Raw genomic sequence first — 19,780 nt, 5'->3', positions numbered from 1 at the left:
CACAAGGCTCCTAGGGCCAGGCTTTCTGGCTGGAAACTGGGATAAAAGCAGCTCTGAAGGAAGAAGCGTTACGTTCAAAATCTGAACCTTTTAGGAACGGCCTAATTTACTTAGCCTTGGGTGGTGTACCCATTTGAAATATCTAGAAAGTAAACAAGAAACCAACTTGGTTCAGTAGCTTAACAAAGGCTTACCCTGAGAGCTTTCTTGGAGATGTTTTTTCCACTGCTGAGGTTGGGTCTTTGTGTGAGTGGAACAGCTGTCTGTATCTTTCTGCTGTGTTTCTCAAAAGACAAAAGCAGAGATGAATGCTATAATTGTATCTGATTAAGTAAGTGCTGGGTGTTTCTAATATTTCAAGTTACTGAGGGCCCATTTGTCAGTTTTTAAGGTTAAGGTTTGATGCCAGCAATGGGCGACAAGAACCCAAGCCTGGCAGTCTCCAGATCACACATCGATTCCACATCTGTGCACACCAGGCCCCGTGCTAGGCACTGTATGTACATTGCCCCACTCAGTACTCCCCACAGTAAAGTGATACATTTGTTTTTATTTCTGTTTATTTTTTCTCCAGCTGAGGAAGCTGGGGCTCAGAGAGGTTGTAACTAGCCCAAGATCACACAGCCTGTGAGCTGTAAAGCTCTAATTCATTCTGTATTTGCAGAATTACAGGGCCTCCTCTGATGGTGCTTTGGGTGTCTTCCATTTCCTATTAACCGTAGCTTTCAAACTTTGTTTTGCTCATCCCACCCCACTGTAAAAAACAAAATCACAACCCAGTATAAGCATATATCTGTAGAGCTAAAAGGAAAATATGACCAAGTGGTATTTACTGTGTACAATGTAGTCTGAAAATGTCATTTTTATTTTTAAATGCTAGTTGCAGCCTCTAAATTAATTTTACAAATCTGCAGCAGGGAACAACTCACAATCTAAAAAGCACTGTTTTAGTTGCAAACTTCTTGAAAGCAGGCCCTGTTCTCTGTTCCCTCTATCATCCTTAGCATAGCCCAGAATGAAGTTTTGCATGTTAGTGTGCGCCAGTGTATAAAGAGGACTTGCTAGATTTTAAGCGCTTGGCATTTATTACTTTGTTCAATCCTAACAGCAACTGCGTGAAGGAGATACTATTACCCGTCCCATTTTACAGTTGAGGAACGAGAGTCATAGAGAGGGTAACTAGCTGGCTCAGGTCTCATTAATAGTATGTAGGAGCCAGGATTTGCAGCCCAGCAGTGTTGATTTGGGTCTGGCATGCTCAATTATTGTGATTCTGTTAATAAATGATTCTTCCTTGAAACCTGCTTTTTCTAGTGTTTTCCTGACTGAGACCGCATAGTGCAAGGATATACAGTGATCGTTTAGTAACTCCATTGTTGACTTTCTAAAGCAAGGTTTCTCAGGCTCTGCGCTATTGACATTGTGAGCTGGATAATTCTTTGTTGTGAGGAAGTGTCCTGTGCATAGCAGGATGTTTAGCAGCGTGCTTGGCCTCTGCCCATTAGATGCTAGACACAGTGCAGTAGGAGGGAGCCACAGGGACCAGCAGCCATTAGCAGCGCCCCCCCACACACACACAGTCATGACAACCAAAAAAGTCTCCAGACATTGCCAGATGTCCCTATGTGCACAAGCACCTCCAGTTGACAACTACTACTCTGAAGGAATAAAAACTCTGGAGCCAGGAAAGACCAAGCTAAGCTTTATTATTGCAAATACACCCTAAAACAGTGGCAGAAATAGATTTCAGTCAGGGGTCCAGCGGGAGACAGGAGGAATACTGCACAGCTTTAACGGTAGAGGGTTTAGTGAAGGCACAATGTACAGAGGTGAGGGTGGAGTCAAAGGAGCCCGCAAGAGATGGTGAGGCCCCTGAGGACTAAGCAGCAGGTGGCCTACACCACCACTAGGTGTGCAAAGGGACCAGGGAAGAAGGTGGCAAGAGCTGGAGCCATAGAAGAGAGGTCTGCCCCTTGGCAGACCTGGAAAGCTATTCCCTACCTGCAGTGCAGGAGGAGGGGACCACAGGGATCCATAGTAGCCAGGGCGTGAGGAGGGGATCAGGGGATCAGTAGCTTGACCTCTCTCCTCTCTCTCTCCCATCCACTGTGCTTCCCATCTGCCAATCCAACAGGAAGCCAAGAGCAAGGAAACAGAGGCCCTGCTCTGTCCTGCTCCCTGCCCTGGGATCTCTGGCTGGCATTACCACCAGGCTCCCTTGCTCTCTAGCAGTCCACAGAGATCAGCTTCTTGGGGCACAGAACAGGGCAGAGAGGTTTAAAGAATGGACCTGGAAGGGCAGGGGAAGAATCACTGGCATTGGATCAGTTTCACCCACAGTCAGCTTTGTGGCACTATAGTCTTAAGTGATTTATGGCACTTCAGAGCTAATGATTACCAACTTCTAATGGTATTGACAGAGATTTTTTCCCAGATAAACAAAAAGAAGTAAACTTAAAATAAAAGATAACCTACAACATAGTACATTATATTCTGGTCTCAGTCCAATCAGAATTTAGGATGTCTGTGGCCAGACACAATTTTACCTAATACCACAGGGTATCAGAAGGCCTGAGTTCTAGTCGGGCTCTGCTTCGGACTGGTTATCAGGAGGTAGGCAACTGTGTTCAGTTTAACAAGCATTTTGGGGTGACATTACTATGTGACAGCAAAAAAGATGAATGCGCCTAGGCCAATCTCTGCTCTTAAGGAGAACAGGTTAAAGAGAGGCACAGACATAAATCTATAACTTCTGTACAGCATGATAAGAGCTGTAATTGAGGCCTGATTAAGAGTTCCTGGGCTAGAGATAAAAGGGCAATTAGTTTTGCCAGAAGGATTTAAGGAAAGCCAAAAAAGAGGCAGTGACTTAAATGTGGGTCTCAGAAAGATGCCAGACAGACCATGGGAAGATATGTTCCAGGTCAAGCAAAGGCAAGAAAGCATGAAACTACCACATCTAATGAACCACAACTACTTCCATGCGTCTAAAGCAGCAGTCACAGACCAAATCCGGCCCTCCACCTGCCTTTCTATGGCCCTCCATCAAAGAATGGGTTTTACATTTTTGAACAGTTGAAGAAAAGAAAATTGAAAAAAATAATATTTCGTGACACATGAAAACTGCATGAAATTCACATTTCAGTGTCCAGAAAGGTTTATTGAAACACAGCTACGCTCATTCATTTACACCTGGTCTATGGCTGCTTTAGCACTGCCAGGGCAGAGCTGAGCAGTTTATGACTGACACAAGAGGCCCACAGGCCTAATATATTTACTATCAGGCCCTTTACAGAAAAAGTTTGCCAACCTAGAGGCAAGTCTGCCACCTAGAGAAAAGCAAGCAGGATAGGTAGCGAGCACTGAGACTGGAAAGTGTGGTAGTGGTCAAGTTGTGAAAGTCTCAGTAGAGTTGGGCTTGATTCCATGAGTCATAGATGAGAAGTGATCAGAAGTTGTTAATGAAAGGGGAGACGTGATCACATTTTCGTTTTAGGAAGATCTTTGCCCTAGAATCCAAATTGAGAAAATGGTTAAGAATCTTGGGGAATTGGTAACAAGGGCCAGAGTTTAAACAGGAGTGAAGATGAAAAGGAAGGGACAGACCAAATGTATTTCTGGTAAACCCCACTGGACTCATGGCTAGTTAGATTTGGTGGGAGTGGGAGGGGATGGGGTTGAAGGAGATGAAGGAGTCAGGGATGAATCTAGCTTAAGTGGTTTTAGCAAAATGATATTAACAAAGATGGTCTGGGGCAGAAACAGATGGGGGATGAAGTTTGCTTGGGACACATTGATTCTGGGTAATGTTGGGATGTCAGGGATTGGGAGACTATCTAGTGAGCAGTTAACTATTCTGTGGGTCTGTAGCTCAGGGAAGAAGGGTCTGGGCTAGAGATAATGATGTGAAAAGTTCAAACCAAAGTAGAGGCTGAGACCACCATTCCCCTCCCCATGTATAACATGAGAGGATAGGGCCAAAAAAGTGGTTTTCAAATTGGGTTCCTTGGAGACTAACAGGTCCTCCAGCATGGTTTGATAGTGGCTGAGTGGGTGGGACTTCAGGTTTCCACCCCTACTTCAACCTGAGCAGTTTCTCTTTGAAGTATTTTATGTAGTGGGTATTTACCTAAGAGTATGTTAAAATGATAAGTTCCTGTAGCCAAAGTGTTTGGCAACCACAAGACTTTAAAGTTCCTTAAGGTTTTTTTTTTCAGTTCTGGTAGGCCTATTGAGGTTGTGTAATCAATCCGTCTGCCTCCAGGCCAGGAATGTTTCAAGTCTATGGAAATGATGGTGAGAAGAACCTTTCTTAATGCACTCAATGCCTGCTAATCACAACTGGTGAGGGGCTTCCCTGGCTGGGAGGACAGCACCCTCATTATCTCCCTCCTCATCTGTAGAGAGGGGCTCTTGTTAACCCTACAGGGCTATTGGAAATGAAAGAAGATCCCAGTATAAAATACCTGGCACTTGGTAGGTTCTGAGGAAGTGGAACCCTCAATCCTCATATTCATCAATCACTTTGACTCACTTGTTAAATGGTGAAACCCTTGCACAGTGAGAAAGAGCTGGTGCCTCTGGCTCTCCCTTAGACACCTGCTCTTTGCTTTCCACTCTGACCTAATGATCGTCATTTGGCCCCTCCCTTCAGTCAGATCCCAGCCTGCCTTTCCTATACCTGTCACTGCCTCTCTTGCCAAGTCAACCCTGCTGACTGAGAGATGGAAGATATTCCACAGTGAAAACCATTGGCTCCTTTGCCTTCTAGAAGTCCTGCACTGAGTTTCAATTGTCTGCAGAATAAACTTATTCATTTGAAAACATTTGCATTTACTGAGATGGTTGAGGCTTTTTATAATAACAAGCTGAAGCTTCTGTTTTCCATTGAACATGTTGGGTTCTTGCCTGTGACTTGGCTTCAATCTGAGGCCAGAATGAAAGTGCTTCAGGCATCCTGTGGTCCATGTTCTGACTCTTTTGTCCTATTCTTGGCCTGCTGATCTGCTAAACTTTCCAGCCTAATTTCCAGGTTCTGCACCTCCAAAGGTCTCTGCAAAAATTGCAGGCTTGTTGCTGCTTGGCTCAGGAGCCCAGGGTCCACAAAACTGAGCTCGTGAGTTCAGTCCAGAGTGAGCCTGTTACTGATGTAGGCACACAAAATATGGCACCCGTGACCTCACCAGGTTTCAAGCGTAACCCACTCCTTTTGACAGGAAATGAATTTAAAGCACATATTCTTATAACAGTCGTTCATTCACTCAGTCATCAAACTGTCACTGGGAAACTTCTGTGTGCCTGGTTCAGTGTCATCACAGAATATAGATGCACAAGCTCATGGGGCAACAGCTAGAAGAACAGGACATGATTTTGCAGTGCGTTGGGGTTTCAACAGAGGTCTGAAGGAAGTCTTGAGGAGGGCAATGACTTCTACCTGAGAGATGTAGACACCCATAGGGAGGCAATAACATTTGAGTGAAGTCCTGGGTACCTACAAATAAGAGGTAGCCAGGCAGAGAAGGGGAGGAAAGAATGTCCCAGGTAGAGAAAACAGTATTGCTTAGGCCGCATAGGCTATCAAAACCAATAACCAATGGCTAGAGTGATTTCTTAAACATCTCTCTTTCCTCTCATCATTGTCTCCAGCTGAATTCACCGAAGTTAGTGAATAACCCCACATGGCTTATTAATAATGACAAAGCACTATTCTGGGAACTAGAACATGCTACTCCCAACACTGCTTCCCATTTACCATGCCAGATCCTTCTCTTCTTTAGGAATTCCAGTGGTCTCAGTTTTGCTGTGGTTAACTGAGAATCCACGGAAGCAGCATCCAACAAAGCACTTTTTACAACCTTAGTTGAGTTGATGATTATTTTTTCTACCATTTTCAAAAAATCTCTGAGCGTAGTGCATAACCAGCTTCTGGGGAGCTTTGCATAATTTTCTCGACTGTCGGTGGGTGATCCTTCAACACCTGAATTCTTAGCAATAGCTATTGCCAGAATTTTGAGTGTTCTTTTAATTATTTCTATACTAACTTTTTACTCTTCATTAGCTGGAGCAGTGAATCTAAGGATGAAATGTACCAAGGCAAAACACCCAAATGATATCTTTTTCAATTGTAACTCCTGTAACATTCAGTGTATCTGACTCTGTTTTTTTCATTCTCTTCCACATCATTTTTCCCATCAACCTTCAGCACAGCTATTGCATCCAAAATTTTGCCGGATGTTCTTCTAGTTTTCCTTTTTCATAGACACTAATAGTAACATCTAACTGCTCAATTATTTCTTGCATATTTTTCTCAGTTTGAGTCTTGTCACCTTTTCCTTCCAAGAACATGGCATCATCTTTGGTCACAATGACTGCTCCAACTTTTCCTAAGTCATGAAACTGAACATCTTCAAGCTTTAGGGTCAAGCTCTCTTCCAAACACCATGCCATTATAGCAATAGCTTTGTTTGGTCTTTCTGTGTCACCAAAGCCTGGAGTTTTGACTACTGTAGCCCAAATGCCAACTTTTATCCTATTTTAAATGATCATACTGAGAGCATCTTCAGCAATTATGACCAAAGACTTTCAGTGGACATTGGCAATTTTAAGGTGGGTACAATTAACTGCTTACTGGAAATCCCAAGCATCCTAGAATTCTCCTTTCTGGACTTCTCATATGTTATTCAAGTAGGAAGAGATGTAATCTTGGTCAATCTCTGTTGTCTAATTCATTCAGTATTTTTCTGTCCTTTACTGTGATGACACCCTTCCAACATTTGTGATTACATCAGAAATGATATTGCTGATTTGTTTGTCTCCATTTGCAGACATTGTGTAAATGGAGAAATCTCTTCAGGAGTTGTCACAGGTTTAGGCTGCTTCTTAAGTTTGGTAATTACAGTATCAGCACATAACATCACACCTTTCCTGGTTTCCACTGGATTAACACCTTTGCTAATCTCTACCAAGCCTTCCATGGTGATGGAGCATGCCAGTACAGTAGCAATGGTGGTGCCACCCCACCCTCTTCATTTGTGTGTTGGCAACATCCTGATCAAATCTGGTGCCAACATTTATCTTGTAAGTCAATTGACCCGCAACAGACACATCATCTTCTGTTACTTTGAGGCTTCCCTATCTCTGTTCAGGAATCACTGTTCTTCCCTTTGGCATCATAGTAATGGCTACAGCACCTGCTAGAAGGTCTGTACCTTGAAGCATTAGGTCTCAAGCATGTGCACTGCATTGTCCATCTTTGGGATAATTCTGAGTGAGGTGAGGAACCAGTGTGCCAAACCCTGGCTTCATCTGGCAAAAGACTGTGGGTAATGAAAGCATTTCTGCAGGGTAGGTGGCTAAATGGCAAGGCAGCCCTCAGCTACAAGGGAGGGGCAGAATGCAGGATGTATACCCAACAATTTTTCAAGTAGGAAAAAGGCAAGGTCAGATTTCAGTTTTTGAAAGATCACCCCCTGCAACTTTTTAAAAGATGGGCTGGAGGGGATGAATCTGCAAAGAAAACTCTAGCAAAAAAGGATGAGTATAGGTAGGAGTGTCTTAGAACATTGAAAGAAGGATACACATTGGAGAAATTGTATAAGGCTGAGCAAATTGGATTTGGAGAAGGAGTAGTGGCAGGAAAGGAAAAGATGGTTCAGCCAGCAAGACTGGCAAGTGGCAGGGCAAGGGGAATGATCTAGTTTATTGGAGGGGCTCACCCTCATAGAGGGAAGTCTGAATCCATTGGGAAGAAAAGAAGATGCAGATTCCCTCCACTTCTTGACTCCCAGAGCCTTGGAGACAGGTTAGGCCTCCCTTTGCTCTCTCCTCTCCTAACAGGTCCTTGTCTCCCACTAGCTCAGCCCAGTAAGTCATGCTGCAGACTAGAGAGACATTTGTATTGCCAGATTCTTCTAGCTAAATGTGTACCATGTGTCCCGCTAACCTTTACAACAGCGGGAAAATGTCTTGTAATTAACCAGAATATAAAGGATGAATGGAGCAGCCTGGCAGTCTCCTGTAGTCATTATCATTCGGAGGAGATGAATGTACCTAGTAAGATTTCCATCAACCAGTTACAGCCAGCACTTTTCCCTTGGGAGTCCTGACTTTGTTCACATACAGTGAAAACCATGCACAGAATATATGTATGATGTGTATGACTTCTTTTTTGTATGTGAATATTTGTATCCATGTGTTTACATGTGCTTGAATATGTACTTGTGAGTGTGCTTGTTATACGCAGAAATGTGCATGTATGCATGGGTAAGGGCACAGTACGAGAAGCAGCCCAGTGAATATTAAGCATACTATCGGGGGTGTGCATTAAATTGTAGCCAGACCATTGAGCCAGCCCCAGGTTCCATTTTACCTCCACTGCATTGATAGTAAAAAACTTCTTTTTACAGACAAGTGGTTCAGTATAATATCATTGGGACAAGGCTAGTGGGTGCTCCATGAAAAAAAATCCATGTACAAACAACATGAATGAATATATCCCAGAAATTCTCTATGTTCTTTCTATGTTGTTCATCTTCTTGTTTTGACCTTCTTTTCTGACTGGGTCTGCTGGTAGTGCACTCTGGAGTTTTGGAGACCTGCCTTTGTTCTCTGACTCTCACAACCTGGTCTGTCCCAGTCTGTTGAGTTAGCTCTTCAATGAGCTTATTTCATGGCTGATTTCCCATGGTGCTGCACATTCCATGATCACTCATCACCCCACCCACCTGAGCAGACTGTTAAAAAAACAAGATGGCTATATATAACTCAGGGTGTGACTGCTTCCCTGGGATTGCTCAAAAACTGAGACCCCAGCATCTGGAAGTGATGTCTTAATGCTAATATTCTGGAGGTGGAGCCAAGATGGCCGAATAGGAACAGCTCCAGTCTACAGCTCCCAGCGTGAGCGACGCAGAAGATGAATGATTTCTGCATTTCCAACTGAGGTACTGGATGCATCTCACTGGGGATTGTCGGAGAGTGGGTGCAGGACAGTGGATGCAGTGCACTGAGCCTGAGCCGAAGCAGGGCGAGGCATGGCCTCACCCAGGAAGTGCAAGGGGTTGGGGAATTCGCTTTCCTAGCCAAGGAAAGGGGTGATGCACGGCACCTGGAAAATCGGGTCACTCCCACCCTAATAATGTGCTTTTCCGACAGTCTTAGCAAATGGCACACCAGGAGATTATATCCCACGCATGGCTCAGAGGGTCCTACACCCACGGAGCCTCGCTCATTGCTAGCACAGCAGTCTGAGATCAAACTGCAAGGTGGCAGCGAGGCTAGGGGAGGGGTGCCCACCATTGCTGAGGCTTGAGTAGGTAAACAAAGCGGCTGGGAAGCTCGAACTGGGTGAAGCCCACCACAACTCCAGGATGCTGGTCTGCCTCTGTAGATTCCACCTTTGGGGACAGGGTATAGCCAAACAAAAGGCAGCAGAAACTTCTGCAGACTTAAATGTCCCTGTCTGACAGCTTTGAAGAGAGTAGTGGTTCTCCCAGCACGCAGCTCAAGATCTGAGAGCGGGCAGACTGCCTCCTCAAGTGGGAACCTGACCCCCGAGTAGCCTAACTGGGAGGCACCCCCCAGTAGGGGCAGACTGACACCTCACACAGCCGGGTACTCCTCTGAGACAAAACTTCCAGACGAACGATCAGGCAGCAACATTTGCTGTTCACCAATATCTGCTGTTCTGCAGGCTTCGCTGCTGATACCCAGGCAAACAGGGTCTGGAGTGGACCTCCGGCAAACACCAACACACCTGCAGCTGAGGGTCCTGACTGTTAGAAGGAAAACTAACAAACAGAAAGGACATCCACACCAAAACCCCATCTGTATGTCACCATCATCAAAGACCAAAGGTAGATAAAACCACAAAGATGGGGAAAAAACAGAGCAGAAAAACTGAAAATTCTAAAAATCAGAGCTCCTCTCCTCCTCCAAAGGAACACAGCTCCTCACCAGCAACGGAACGAAGCTGGACAGAGAATGACTTTGACGAGTTAAGAGAAGAAGGCTTCAGATGATTAAACTATGATGAGCTAAAGGATGAAGTTCGAACCCATGGCAAAGAAGTTAAAAACCTTGAAAAAAGATTAGACAAATGGCTAACTAGAATAACCAATGCAGAGAAGTCCTTTTTTTTTTTGAAATGTATTTTTGTTTGTTTTTTTTGTTTTGTTTTGTTTTGTTTTAATTTATTTTATTATTATTATACTTTAAGTTTTAGGGTACATGTACACATTGTGCAGGTTAGTTACATATGTATACATGTGCCATGCTGGTGTGCTGCACCCACTAACTCGTCATCTAGCATTAGTTATATCTCCCAATGCCATCCCTCCCCCCTACCCCCACCCCACAACAGTCCCCAGAGTGTGATGTTCCCCTTCCTGTGTCCATGTGATCTCATTGTTCAGTTCCCCACTATGAGTGAGAATACGCAGTGTTTGGTTTTTTGTTCTTGCGATAGTTTACTGAGAATGATGGTTTCCAATTTCATCCATGTCCCTACAAAGGACATGAACTCATCATTTTTTATGGCTGCATAGTATTCCATGGTGTATATGTGCCACATTTTCTTAATCCAGTCTATCATTGTTGGACACTTGGGTTGGTTCCAAGTCTTTGCTATTGTGAATAATGCCGCAATAAACATACATGTGCATGTGTCTTTATAGCAGCATGATTTATAGTCCTTTGGGTATATACCCAGTAATGGGATGGCTGGGTCAAATGGTATTTCTAGTTCTAGATCCCTGAGGAATCGCCACACTGACTTCCACAATGGTTGAACTAGTTTACAGTCCCACCAACAGTGTAAAAGTCTTCCTATTTCTCCACATCCTCTCCAGCACCTGTTGTTTCCTGACTTTTTAATGATCGCCATTCTAACTGGTGTGAGATGGTATCTCATTGTGGTTTTGATTTGCATTTCTCTGATGGCCAGTGATGGTGAGCAGTTTTTCATGTGTTTTTTGGCTGCATAAATGTCTTCTTTTGAGAAGTGTCTGTTCATGTCCTTTGCCCACTTTTTGATGGGGTTGTTTGTTTTTTTCTTGTAAATTTGTTTGAGTTCATTGTAGATTCTGGATATTAGCCCTTTGTCAGATGAGTAGGTTGCGAAAATTTTCTCCCATTTTGTAGGTTGCCTGTTCACTCTGATGGTAGTTTGTTTTGCTGTGCAGAAGCTCTTTAGTTTAATTAGATCCCATTTGTCAATTTTGTCTTTTGTTGCCATTGCTTTTGGTGTTTTAGACATGAAGTCCTTGCCCATGCCTATGTCCTGAATGGTAATGCCTAGGTTTTCTTCTAGGGTTTTTATGGTTTTAGGTCTAACGTTTAAGTCTTTAATCCATCTTGGATTGATTTTTGTATAAGGTGTAAGGAAGTGATCCAGTTTCAGCTTTCTACATATGGCTAGCCAGTTTTCCCAGCACCATTTATTAAATAGGGAATCCTTTCCCCATTGCTTGTTTTTCTCAGGTTTGTCGAAGATCAGATAGTTGTAGATATGCGGCGTTATTTCTGAGGGCTCTGTTCTGTTCCATTGATCTATATCTCTGTTTTGGTACCAGTACCATGCTGTTTTGGTTACTGTAGCCTTGTAGTGTAGTTTGAAGTCAGGTAGCGTGATGCCTCCAGCTTTGTTCTTTTGGCTTAGGATTGATTTGGCGATGCGGGCTCTTTTTTGGTTCCATATGAACTTTAAAGTAGTTTTTTCCAATTCTGTGAAGAAAGGCATTGGTAGCTTCATGGGGATGGCATTGAGTCTATAAATTACCTTGGGCAGTATGGCCATTTTCACGATATTGATTCTTCCTACCCATGAGCATGGAATGTTCTTCCATTTGGTTGTATCCTCTTTTATTTCATTGAGCAGTGGTTTGTAGTTCTCCTTGAAGAGTTCCTTCACATCCCTTGTAAGTTGGATTCCTAGGTATTTTATTCTCTTTGAAGCAATTGTGAATGGGAGTTCACTCATGATTTGGCTCTCTGTTTGTCTGTTATTAGTGTATAAGAATGCTTGTGATTTTTGTACATTGATTTTGTATCCTGAGACTGCTGAAGTTCCTTATCAGCTTAAGGAGATTTTGGGCTGAGACAATGGGGTTTTCTAGATATACAATCATGTCATCTGCAAACAGGGACAATTTGACTTCCTCTTTTCCTAATTGAATACCCTTTATTTCCTTCTCCTGCCTGATTGCCCTGGCCAGAACTTCCAACAGTATGTTGAATAGGAGTGGTGAGAGAGGGCATCCCTGTCTTGTGCCAGTTTTCAAAGGGAATGCTTCCAGTTTTTGCCCATTCAGTATGATATTGGCTGTGGGTTTGTCATAGATAGCTCTTATTATTTTGAGATACGTCCCATCAATACCTAATTTATTGAGAGTTTTTAGCATGAAGGGTTGTTGAATTTTGTCAAAGGCCTTTTCTGCCCCTATTGAGATAATCATGTGGTTTTTGTCTTTGGCTCTGTTTATATGCTGGATTACATTTATTGATTTGCGTATATTGAACCAGCCTTGCATCCCAGGGATGAAGCTCATTTGATCATGGTGGATAAGCTTTTTGATGTGCTGCTGGATTCTGTTTGCCAGTATTTTATTGAGGATTTTTGCATCAATGTTCATCAAGGATATTGGTCTAAAATTCTCTTTTTTGATTGTGTCTCTGCCCGGCTTTGGTATCAGGTATGAGGCGGCCTCATAAAATGAGTTAGGGAGGATTCCCTCTTTTTCTATTGATTGGAATAGTTTCAGAAGGAATGGTACCAGTTCCTCCTTGTACCTCTGGTAGAATTCGGCTGTGAATCCATCTGGTCCTGGACTCTTTTTGGTTGGTAAGCTATTGATTATTGCCACAATTTCAGATCCTGTTATTGGTCTATTCAGAGATTCGACTTCTTCCTGGTTTAGTCTTGGGAGGGTGTATGTGTCTAGGAATTTATCCATTTCTTCTAGATTTTCTAGTTTATTTGCGTAGAAATGTTTGTAGTATTCTCTGATGGTAGTTTGTATTTCTGTGGGATCAGTGGTGATATCCCCTTTATCATTTTTTATTGTGTCTGTTTGATTCTTCTCTCTTTTCTTCTTTATTAGTCTTGCTAGCGGTCTATCAATTTTGTTGATCCTTTCAAAAAACCAGCTCCTGGATTCATTAATTTTTTGAAGGGTTTTTTGTGTCTCTATTTCCTACAGTTCTGCTCTGATTTTAGTTATTTCTTGCCTTCTGCTAGCTTTTGAATATGTTTGCTCTTGCTTCTCTAGTTCTCTTAATTGTGATGCTAGGGTGTCAATTTTGGATCTTTCCTGCTTTCTCTTGTGGGCATTTAGTGCTATAAATTTCCCTCTACACACTGCTTTGAATGTGTCCCAGAGATTCTGGTATGTTGTGTCTTTGTTCTCCTTGGTTTCAAAGAACATCTTTATTTCTGCCTTCAGTTCGTTATGTACCCAGTGCAGGTTGTTCAGTTTCCACGTAGTTGAGCGGTTTTGAGTCCGTTTCTGAATCCTGAGTTCTAGTTTGATTGCACTGTGTTCTGAGAGACAGTTTGTTATAATTTCTGTTCTTTTACATTTGCTGAGGAGTGCTTTACTTCCAACTATGTGGTCAATTTTGGAATAGTTATGGTGTGGTGCTGAAAAGAATGTATATTCTGTTGATTTGGGGTGGAGAGTTCTGTAGATGTCTATTAGGTCCACTTGGTGCAGAGCTGAGTTCAATTCCTGGGTATCCTTGTTAACTTTCTGTCTCGTTGATCTGTCTAATATTGACAGTGGGGTGTTAAAGTCTCCCATTATTATTGTGTGGGAGTCTAAGTCTCTTTGTAGGTCACTCAGGACTTGCTTTATGAACCCGGGTGCTCCTGTATTGGGTGCATATATATTTAAGATAGTTAGCTCTTCTTGTTGAATTGATCCCTTTACCATTATGTAATGGCCTTCTTTGTCTCTTTTGATCTTTATTGGTTTAAAGTCTGTATTATCAGAGACTAGGATTGCAACCCCTGCCTTTTTTTGTTTTCCATTTGCTTGGTAGATCTTCCTCCATCCTTTTATTTTGAGCCTATGTGTGTCTCTGCACGTGAGATGGGTTTCCTGAATACAGCACACTGATGGGTCTTGACTCTTTATCCAATTTACCAGTCGATGTCTTTTAATTGGAGCATTTAGTCCATTTACATTTAAGGTTAATATTGTTATGTGTGAATTTGATCCTGTCATGATGATGTTAGCTGGTTATTTTGCTCGTTAGTTGATGCAGTTTCTTCCTAGTCTCGATGGTCTTTACATTTTGGCATGATTTTGCAGCAGCTGGTACCATTTGTTCCTTTCCATGTTTAGTGCTTCCTTCAGGAGCTCTTTTAGGGCAGGCCTGGTGGTGACAAAATCTCTCAGCATTTGCTTGTTTGTAAGGGATTTTATTTCTCCTTCACTTATGAAGCTTAGTTTGGCTGGATATGAAATTCTGGGTTGAAAATTCTTTTCTTTAAGAATGTTGAATATTGGCCCCCAATTTCTTCTGACTTGTAGAGTTTCTGCCGAGAAATCCGCTGTTAGTCTGATGGGCTTCCCTTTGTGGGTAACCTAACCTTTCTCTCTGGCTGCCCTTAACATTTTTTCCTTCATTTCAACTTTGGTGAATCTGACAATTATGTGTCTTAGAGTTGCTCTTCTCGAGGAGTATCTTTGTGGCGTTCTCTGTATTTCCTGAATCTGAACGTTGGCCTGCCTTGCTAGATTGGAGAAGTTCTCCTGGATAGTATCCTGCAGGGTGTTTTCCAACTTGGTTCCATTCTCCCCGTCACTTTCAGGTACACCAATCAGACGTAGATTTGGTCTTTTCACATAGTCCCATATTTCTTGGAATCTTTGTTCGTTTCTTTTTATTCTTTTTTCTCTAAACTTCCCTTCTCACTTCATTTCATTCATTTGATCTTCCATCACTGATACCCTTTCTTCCAGTTGATCACTTCAGCTCCTGAGGCTTCTGCACTCTTCACGTAGTTCTCGAGCCTTGGCTTTCAGCTCCATCAGCTCCTTTAAGCACTTCTCTGTATTGGTTATTCTAGTTATACATTCTTCTAAATTTTTTTCAAAGTTTTCAACTTCTTTGCCTTTGGTTTGAATTTCCTCTTGTAGCTCAGAGTAGTTTGATCATCTGAAGGCTTCTTCTCTCAATTCGTCAAAGTCATTCTCCATCCAGCTTTGTTCCGTTGCTGGTGAGGAACTGCGTTCCTTTGGAGGAGGAGAGGCGCTCTGCTTTTTAGAGTTTCCAGTTTTTCTGCTCTGTTTTTTCCCCATCTTTGTGGTTTTATCTACTTTTGGTCTTTGATGATGGTGATGTACAGATAGGTTTTTGGTGTGGATGTCCTTTCTGTTTGTTAGTTTTCCTTCTAACAGACAGGACCCTCAGCTGCAAGTCTGTTGGAGTTTGCTAGAGGTCCACTCCAGACCCTGTTTGCCTGGGTATCAGCAGCGGTGTCTGCAGAACAGCAGATTTTCGTGAACCACGAATGCTGCTGTCTGATTATTCCTCTGGAAGTTTTGTCTCAGAGGAGTACCCGGCCGTGTGAGGTGTCAGTCTGCCCCTACTGGGGGGTGCCTCCCAGTTAGGCTGCTCGGGGGTCAAGGGTCAGGGACCCACTTGAGGAGGCAGTCTGCCCATTCTCAGATCTCCAGCTGCATGCTGGGAGAACCACTGCTCTCTTCAAAGCTGTCAGATGGGGGCATTTAAGTCTGCAGAGGTTACTGCTGTCTTTTTGTTTGTCTGTGCCCTGCCCCCAGAGGTGGAGCCTACAGAGGCAGGCAGGCCTCCTTGAGCAGTGGTGCACTCCACCCAGTTCGAGCTTCCCAGCTGCTTTGTTTACCTACTGAAGCCTGGGCAATGGCGGGCGCCCCTCCCCCCGCCTTGCTGCTGCCTTGCAGTTTGATCTCAGACTGCTGTGCTAGCAATCAGCGACACTCCGTGGGCGTAGGACCCTCCGAGCTAGGTGCGGAATATAATCTCCTGGTGTGCCATTTCCTAAGCCCGTTGGAAAAGCGCAGTATTCGGGTGGGAGTGACCCGATTTTCCACGTGCCGTCTGTCACCCCTTTCCTTGACCATGAAAGGGAACTCCCTGATCCCTTGCACTTCCCGAGTGAGGCAATGCCTCACCCTGCTTTGGCTCATGCACGGTGCGCTGCACCCACTGTCCTGCGCCCACTGTCTAGCACTTCCTAGTGAGATGAACCCAGTACCTCAGATGGAAATGCAGAAATCACCCTTCTTCTGCGTCGCTCACGCTGGGAGCTGTAGACTGGAGCTGTTCCTATTCGGCCACCTTGGCTCCTCCAGATATACCTAATGTTAAATGACGAGTTAATGGGTGCAGCACACCGACATGACACATGTATATATATGTAACAAAACTGCACGTTGTGCACATGTACCCTGAACTTTAAGTATAATAATAAAAAAAGGAAAGTCATTTGAAGAGACTGTAAATAAAAGTAAATTTAATCTAAAAAAAAATGCTAATGTTCCTGGTGATGTGGATCTTGCCTAGAGCTTACCCCTCAGTGAAGGATCTTACATGACCCATCAATCAGCTCCCATATGGTGTGTGCCAACTGTAGGTTCTACCATCAATCAGCTGGGCCTGAATATACATTTTGTAGAGTTTGTGTTGTTGGTATGCAGAACCCTTGCCCAAAGAGCTGTGACCCCTGTATTTCCCTGCGCTAACATGATGAGGACAAAGACTCTACCTGTGGATTCTAGCATGCATCCGATGACCATGTGGTGGCTACAGGCAACACTGGTGATATAACCTCTCAGACCTAGCTCAAAGCGGTAATCACCAAGTTCATATGTACATTATGGAGCTCCCTGCAGCTTTTCAGGTTCCTTCTCACTCAGTTCTCATCACCTTGACAAACTCCATCCTATGCTAAGTAGCAGGAAGTAAAAGAGGAAGAACAGAAGTTAGCTCAAGCTTGCGTTGCATGATGACATCATCCATTACTAGAAGCAGCCCAATGAATATTAAGCACAGATCCATTAGGTTAGGCAGTCTTTCCTTGCGGAGGAATGAGTGGAGAGGGTGGACACAGAAATCAGAAGGATTCTTTCTGGGCCCTTGAGAGAGGCAAGGAGCAGGAGACTTTTCCTCAATGCAACCGTGAGAAGAGAGGAAGGGGAGGCTCCCTCTTAGCATCGCCTCCCCTCATGGCCACACATATCTCACAGTGCCCACATCAGCCCCTACATGGAAAATCCAAGCAGCTTTGCCCCTGGGAATGGCCTCTGTGGTGCTCTGGTCCCCTTCCTCATTCCCCTTCCTCTAGCAACACTAGAGCCAGAGACAAGGAGACGATGAAGACTCTTTCTTCACCTCCCACTTGGCCAGGTGCCCTGAGCCATCTCCACAGACCTGACCACAAATGGGCTGCACCGGGTCATAGAGACCCCTCACCCACTGCTGCCCTGATGCTGGGGTACCAGGGCTATCAGGCTCAAATTGTTGTTGTGGTGCTGGAACTGCTCCTGTTCTCCCAGGGATAGTGAATCAGAGGGCTATCCCCCTGCCGCACTGTATTAGCTAGGCTTGAATAATGTATGTTTCCCTACTAATGCCCTCTGTTTGATCGTGTGTCCATGTTAGTGTTCATTGGAAATTTTCCTGCTGGATACACATGGAGAGTAATGCACATTTATAAAAACGGTTTGAATGCATGTTGGGAGGCTATGACTCCGTGGTAATAACTGAATTTTATCAGGCATTCAGATTACACAGTGACTTGCCTGCCAGGGAACAAACCCTTGGGGAACTTTTTCATGTAGCCAGAGTTGGGGGACTGGGAGGCAGCCTTCCTTGCATATCTGATTACTGTGAGCTTTGATTTGGGGATTGGCCTGTTACCTCAAGTCCAGAGCAAATACCTGAGTTTTCAGAGCCTGAGCTTGGGAGCAGATCCTGGAGAAGGTTTACAGTTTCCCTGAGATTGCTTTGGGTGCAGATCACAAGAAAAGAGGCTGAGGCTCAGTGAAGAACACAGCTGTTTCCTGGCTGTGTGACTTACAGCAAGTCACCTAAACCACTTTGAACCCTGATTTGATTATCTATTGAGTAGGTATAATAACTACCAGTCAAGGTTGTTGAAAGTATAAGGACCAAATGAAATGATTCTAGGCGTTGAGGATACACCCATGAATAAAAATCCCTGCCTTTGTAGAGCTTACATTGCAATGTGGAGTGACAAAAATAACTACATAAATGGTATAGTATGTTAGAACATTGGGAAGATAACGTTGGGAAGGAGGCAGGGAGAGCTGGGGTTGCAGGTGTCATTTTAATGGAGTGGTCAGGGAAGGCCTCAGTGAAGAAATGGTGTTTGCACAAACACTTAAGGGAAAAGGGGAGCAAGTCGTAGAGATACCTGAGGAAAGGCCTTTTGGGGAATTGGCAGGCTGAAGCAGAAGCATGCCTGGCATATTGTAGGCACATCAGAGAGGCCCATGAGGCTGGAGAAGAGCAATCGAGGCCAAATACAGAGTCAGAGAGGTCATGGGGAGAACAGATTGGTCTTGCAGGCCATCTTAAGGACTTTTACTCTAGAAGACATGGGTTGCCACTGATGAGCTTTGAGCAGAGATGTAATATGGTTTGACTTATGTTTTAATAGGATCCCTCTGGTTCTTGTGCTAAGGACAGACTATATAGGGACAAGGGTGGAGAATGGGAGGCCACAGTCATGAGGGGAAAGGTATCTCAGACTTGAATCAGGATGATAGACAATGGAAGTTGTGAGAAGTGGTTGCCTTTGGGATATATTTGGAAGGATTTTCTGATGGATTGTGTGTGGGTTTGAGAAAGAGGAGTCAAGGACGCTGATTTAAGTAAAGAACTTGTAAAGCACCCTGGACCTGGCACGTATGAAGTGCCCAGTTACAGTTGTTGTCACCACTCCTGGGTATCAATCTGAGCAGGGCTAAGTCAGCAGGCGGGGCCAGCTGGAAGATGGCACCGTGGGTAGCTGGGATTAAACAGCTGCTCCAAGGCATATAACCAGAGACAGGGTGAAGCTGTTAGAGGCCAAGAGAATGCCTTGGGTAACAGGGGTGGTCAGACCAAAGGCGGCTGATGGGTACAGAGGAATGGCCTTTGGAATTATGGAGTTCTGGCTCTGGCACCTTTTGTGTGCTATTTGGCAAAGTTCTGATGAACTGAGGACTAGGCTGGACTTAGTGACAGGGTCAAAGCCAGATCTGATCCATCAGGCACCCACTTGAGTCAGGCCCCATCTCCCAGTGACCTCCAGGATTCAGCTTCCCCTGCCTGTAAGAGGTTGGCTTATGTAGGCTGGGCTTGGCTTGGCTAATTCCCTCTTCCCCCATGTGTCTCTTATCCTCCTGGGAGCAGCTATGTTGTCTCACAATGATGGCAGAGATGCAAGAGGCCAAGCCTAATCTGGCAAGTGCTTTTATGCCTTTGAACACATCAAGGCCTCCAAATTTCCCATGGCCAAAGCAAGTCACAAGGCCAAACCCAAAGTCAAGGAGTGGGGGAATGTACTCCACCTCTGTAATGGAGGGAGCTAAAAAATCACATTGCAAATGGTGAGAATACAATGAGTAGTGACAATTTGGGCCCATATTCTGATCTACCATACCCTGTCAGGGCTGACTCAGAACTGAGGTAGAGAAAAAGCTGTGGAGAAGCAGAGGTGGGCTGCAAGGCTGCACACGTCGACGCTCATGAAAAGTTTGCTGAGGAGCAGGTTGAATTCAGTAGGTCT

At 44.2% G+C, this 19,780-nt stretch overlaps 1 protein-coding gene and 1 pseudogene across 12 annotated transcripts in view; one reads left to right on the top strand and one right to left on the bottom strand.

Moving 5' to 3' along the window:
- The window catches only part of CSMD2 (CUB and Sushi multiple domains 2), a 651,845-nt gene that overhangs the window by 319,987 nt on the left and 312,078 nt on the right, over positions 1-19,780 (top strand). The window lies entirely within an intron of this gene.
- Positions 5,719-7,335, bottom strand: HSPD1P14 (heat shock protein family D (Hsp60) member 1 pseudogene 14; annotated as a pseudogene).

This window comes from Homo sapiens, chromosome 1 (assembly GCF_000001405.40).
Source record: "Homo sapiens chromosome 1, GRCh38.p14 Primary Assembly".
NCBI classification, from domain to species: domain Eukaryota; kingdom Metazoa; phylum Chordata; class Mammalia; order Primates; family Hominidae; genus Homo; species Homo sapiens.
The sequence above is the reverse complement of the archived record's forward strand: the minus strand, read 5'-3'. Positions and strand labels throughout refer to the sequence as shown.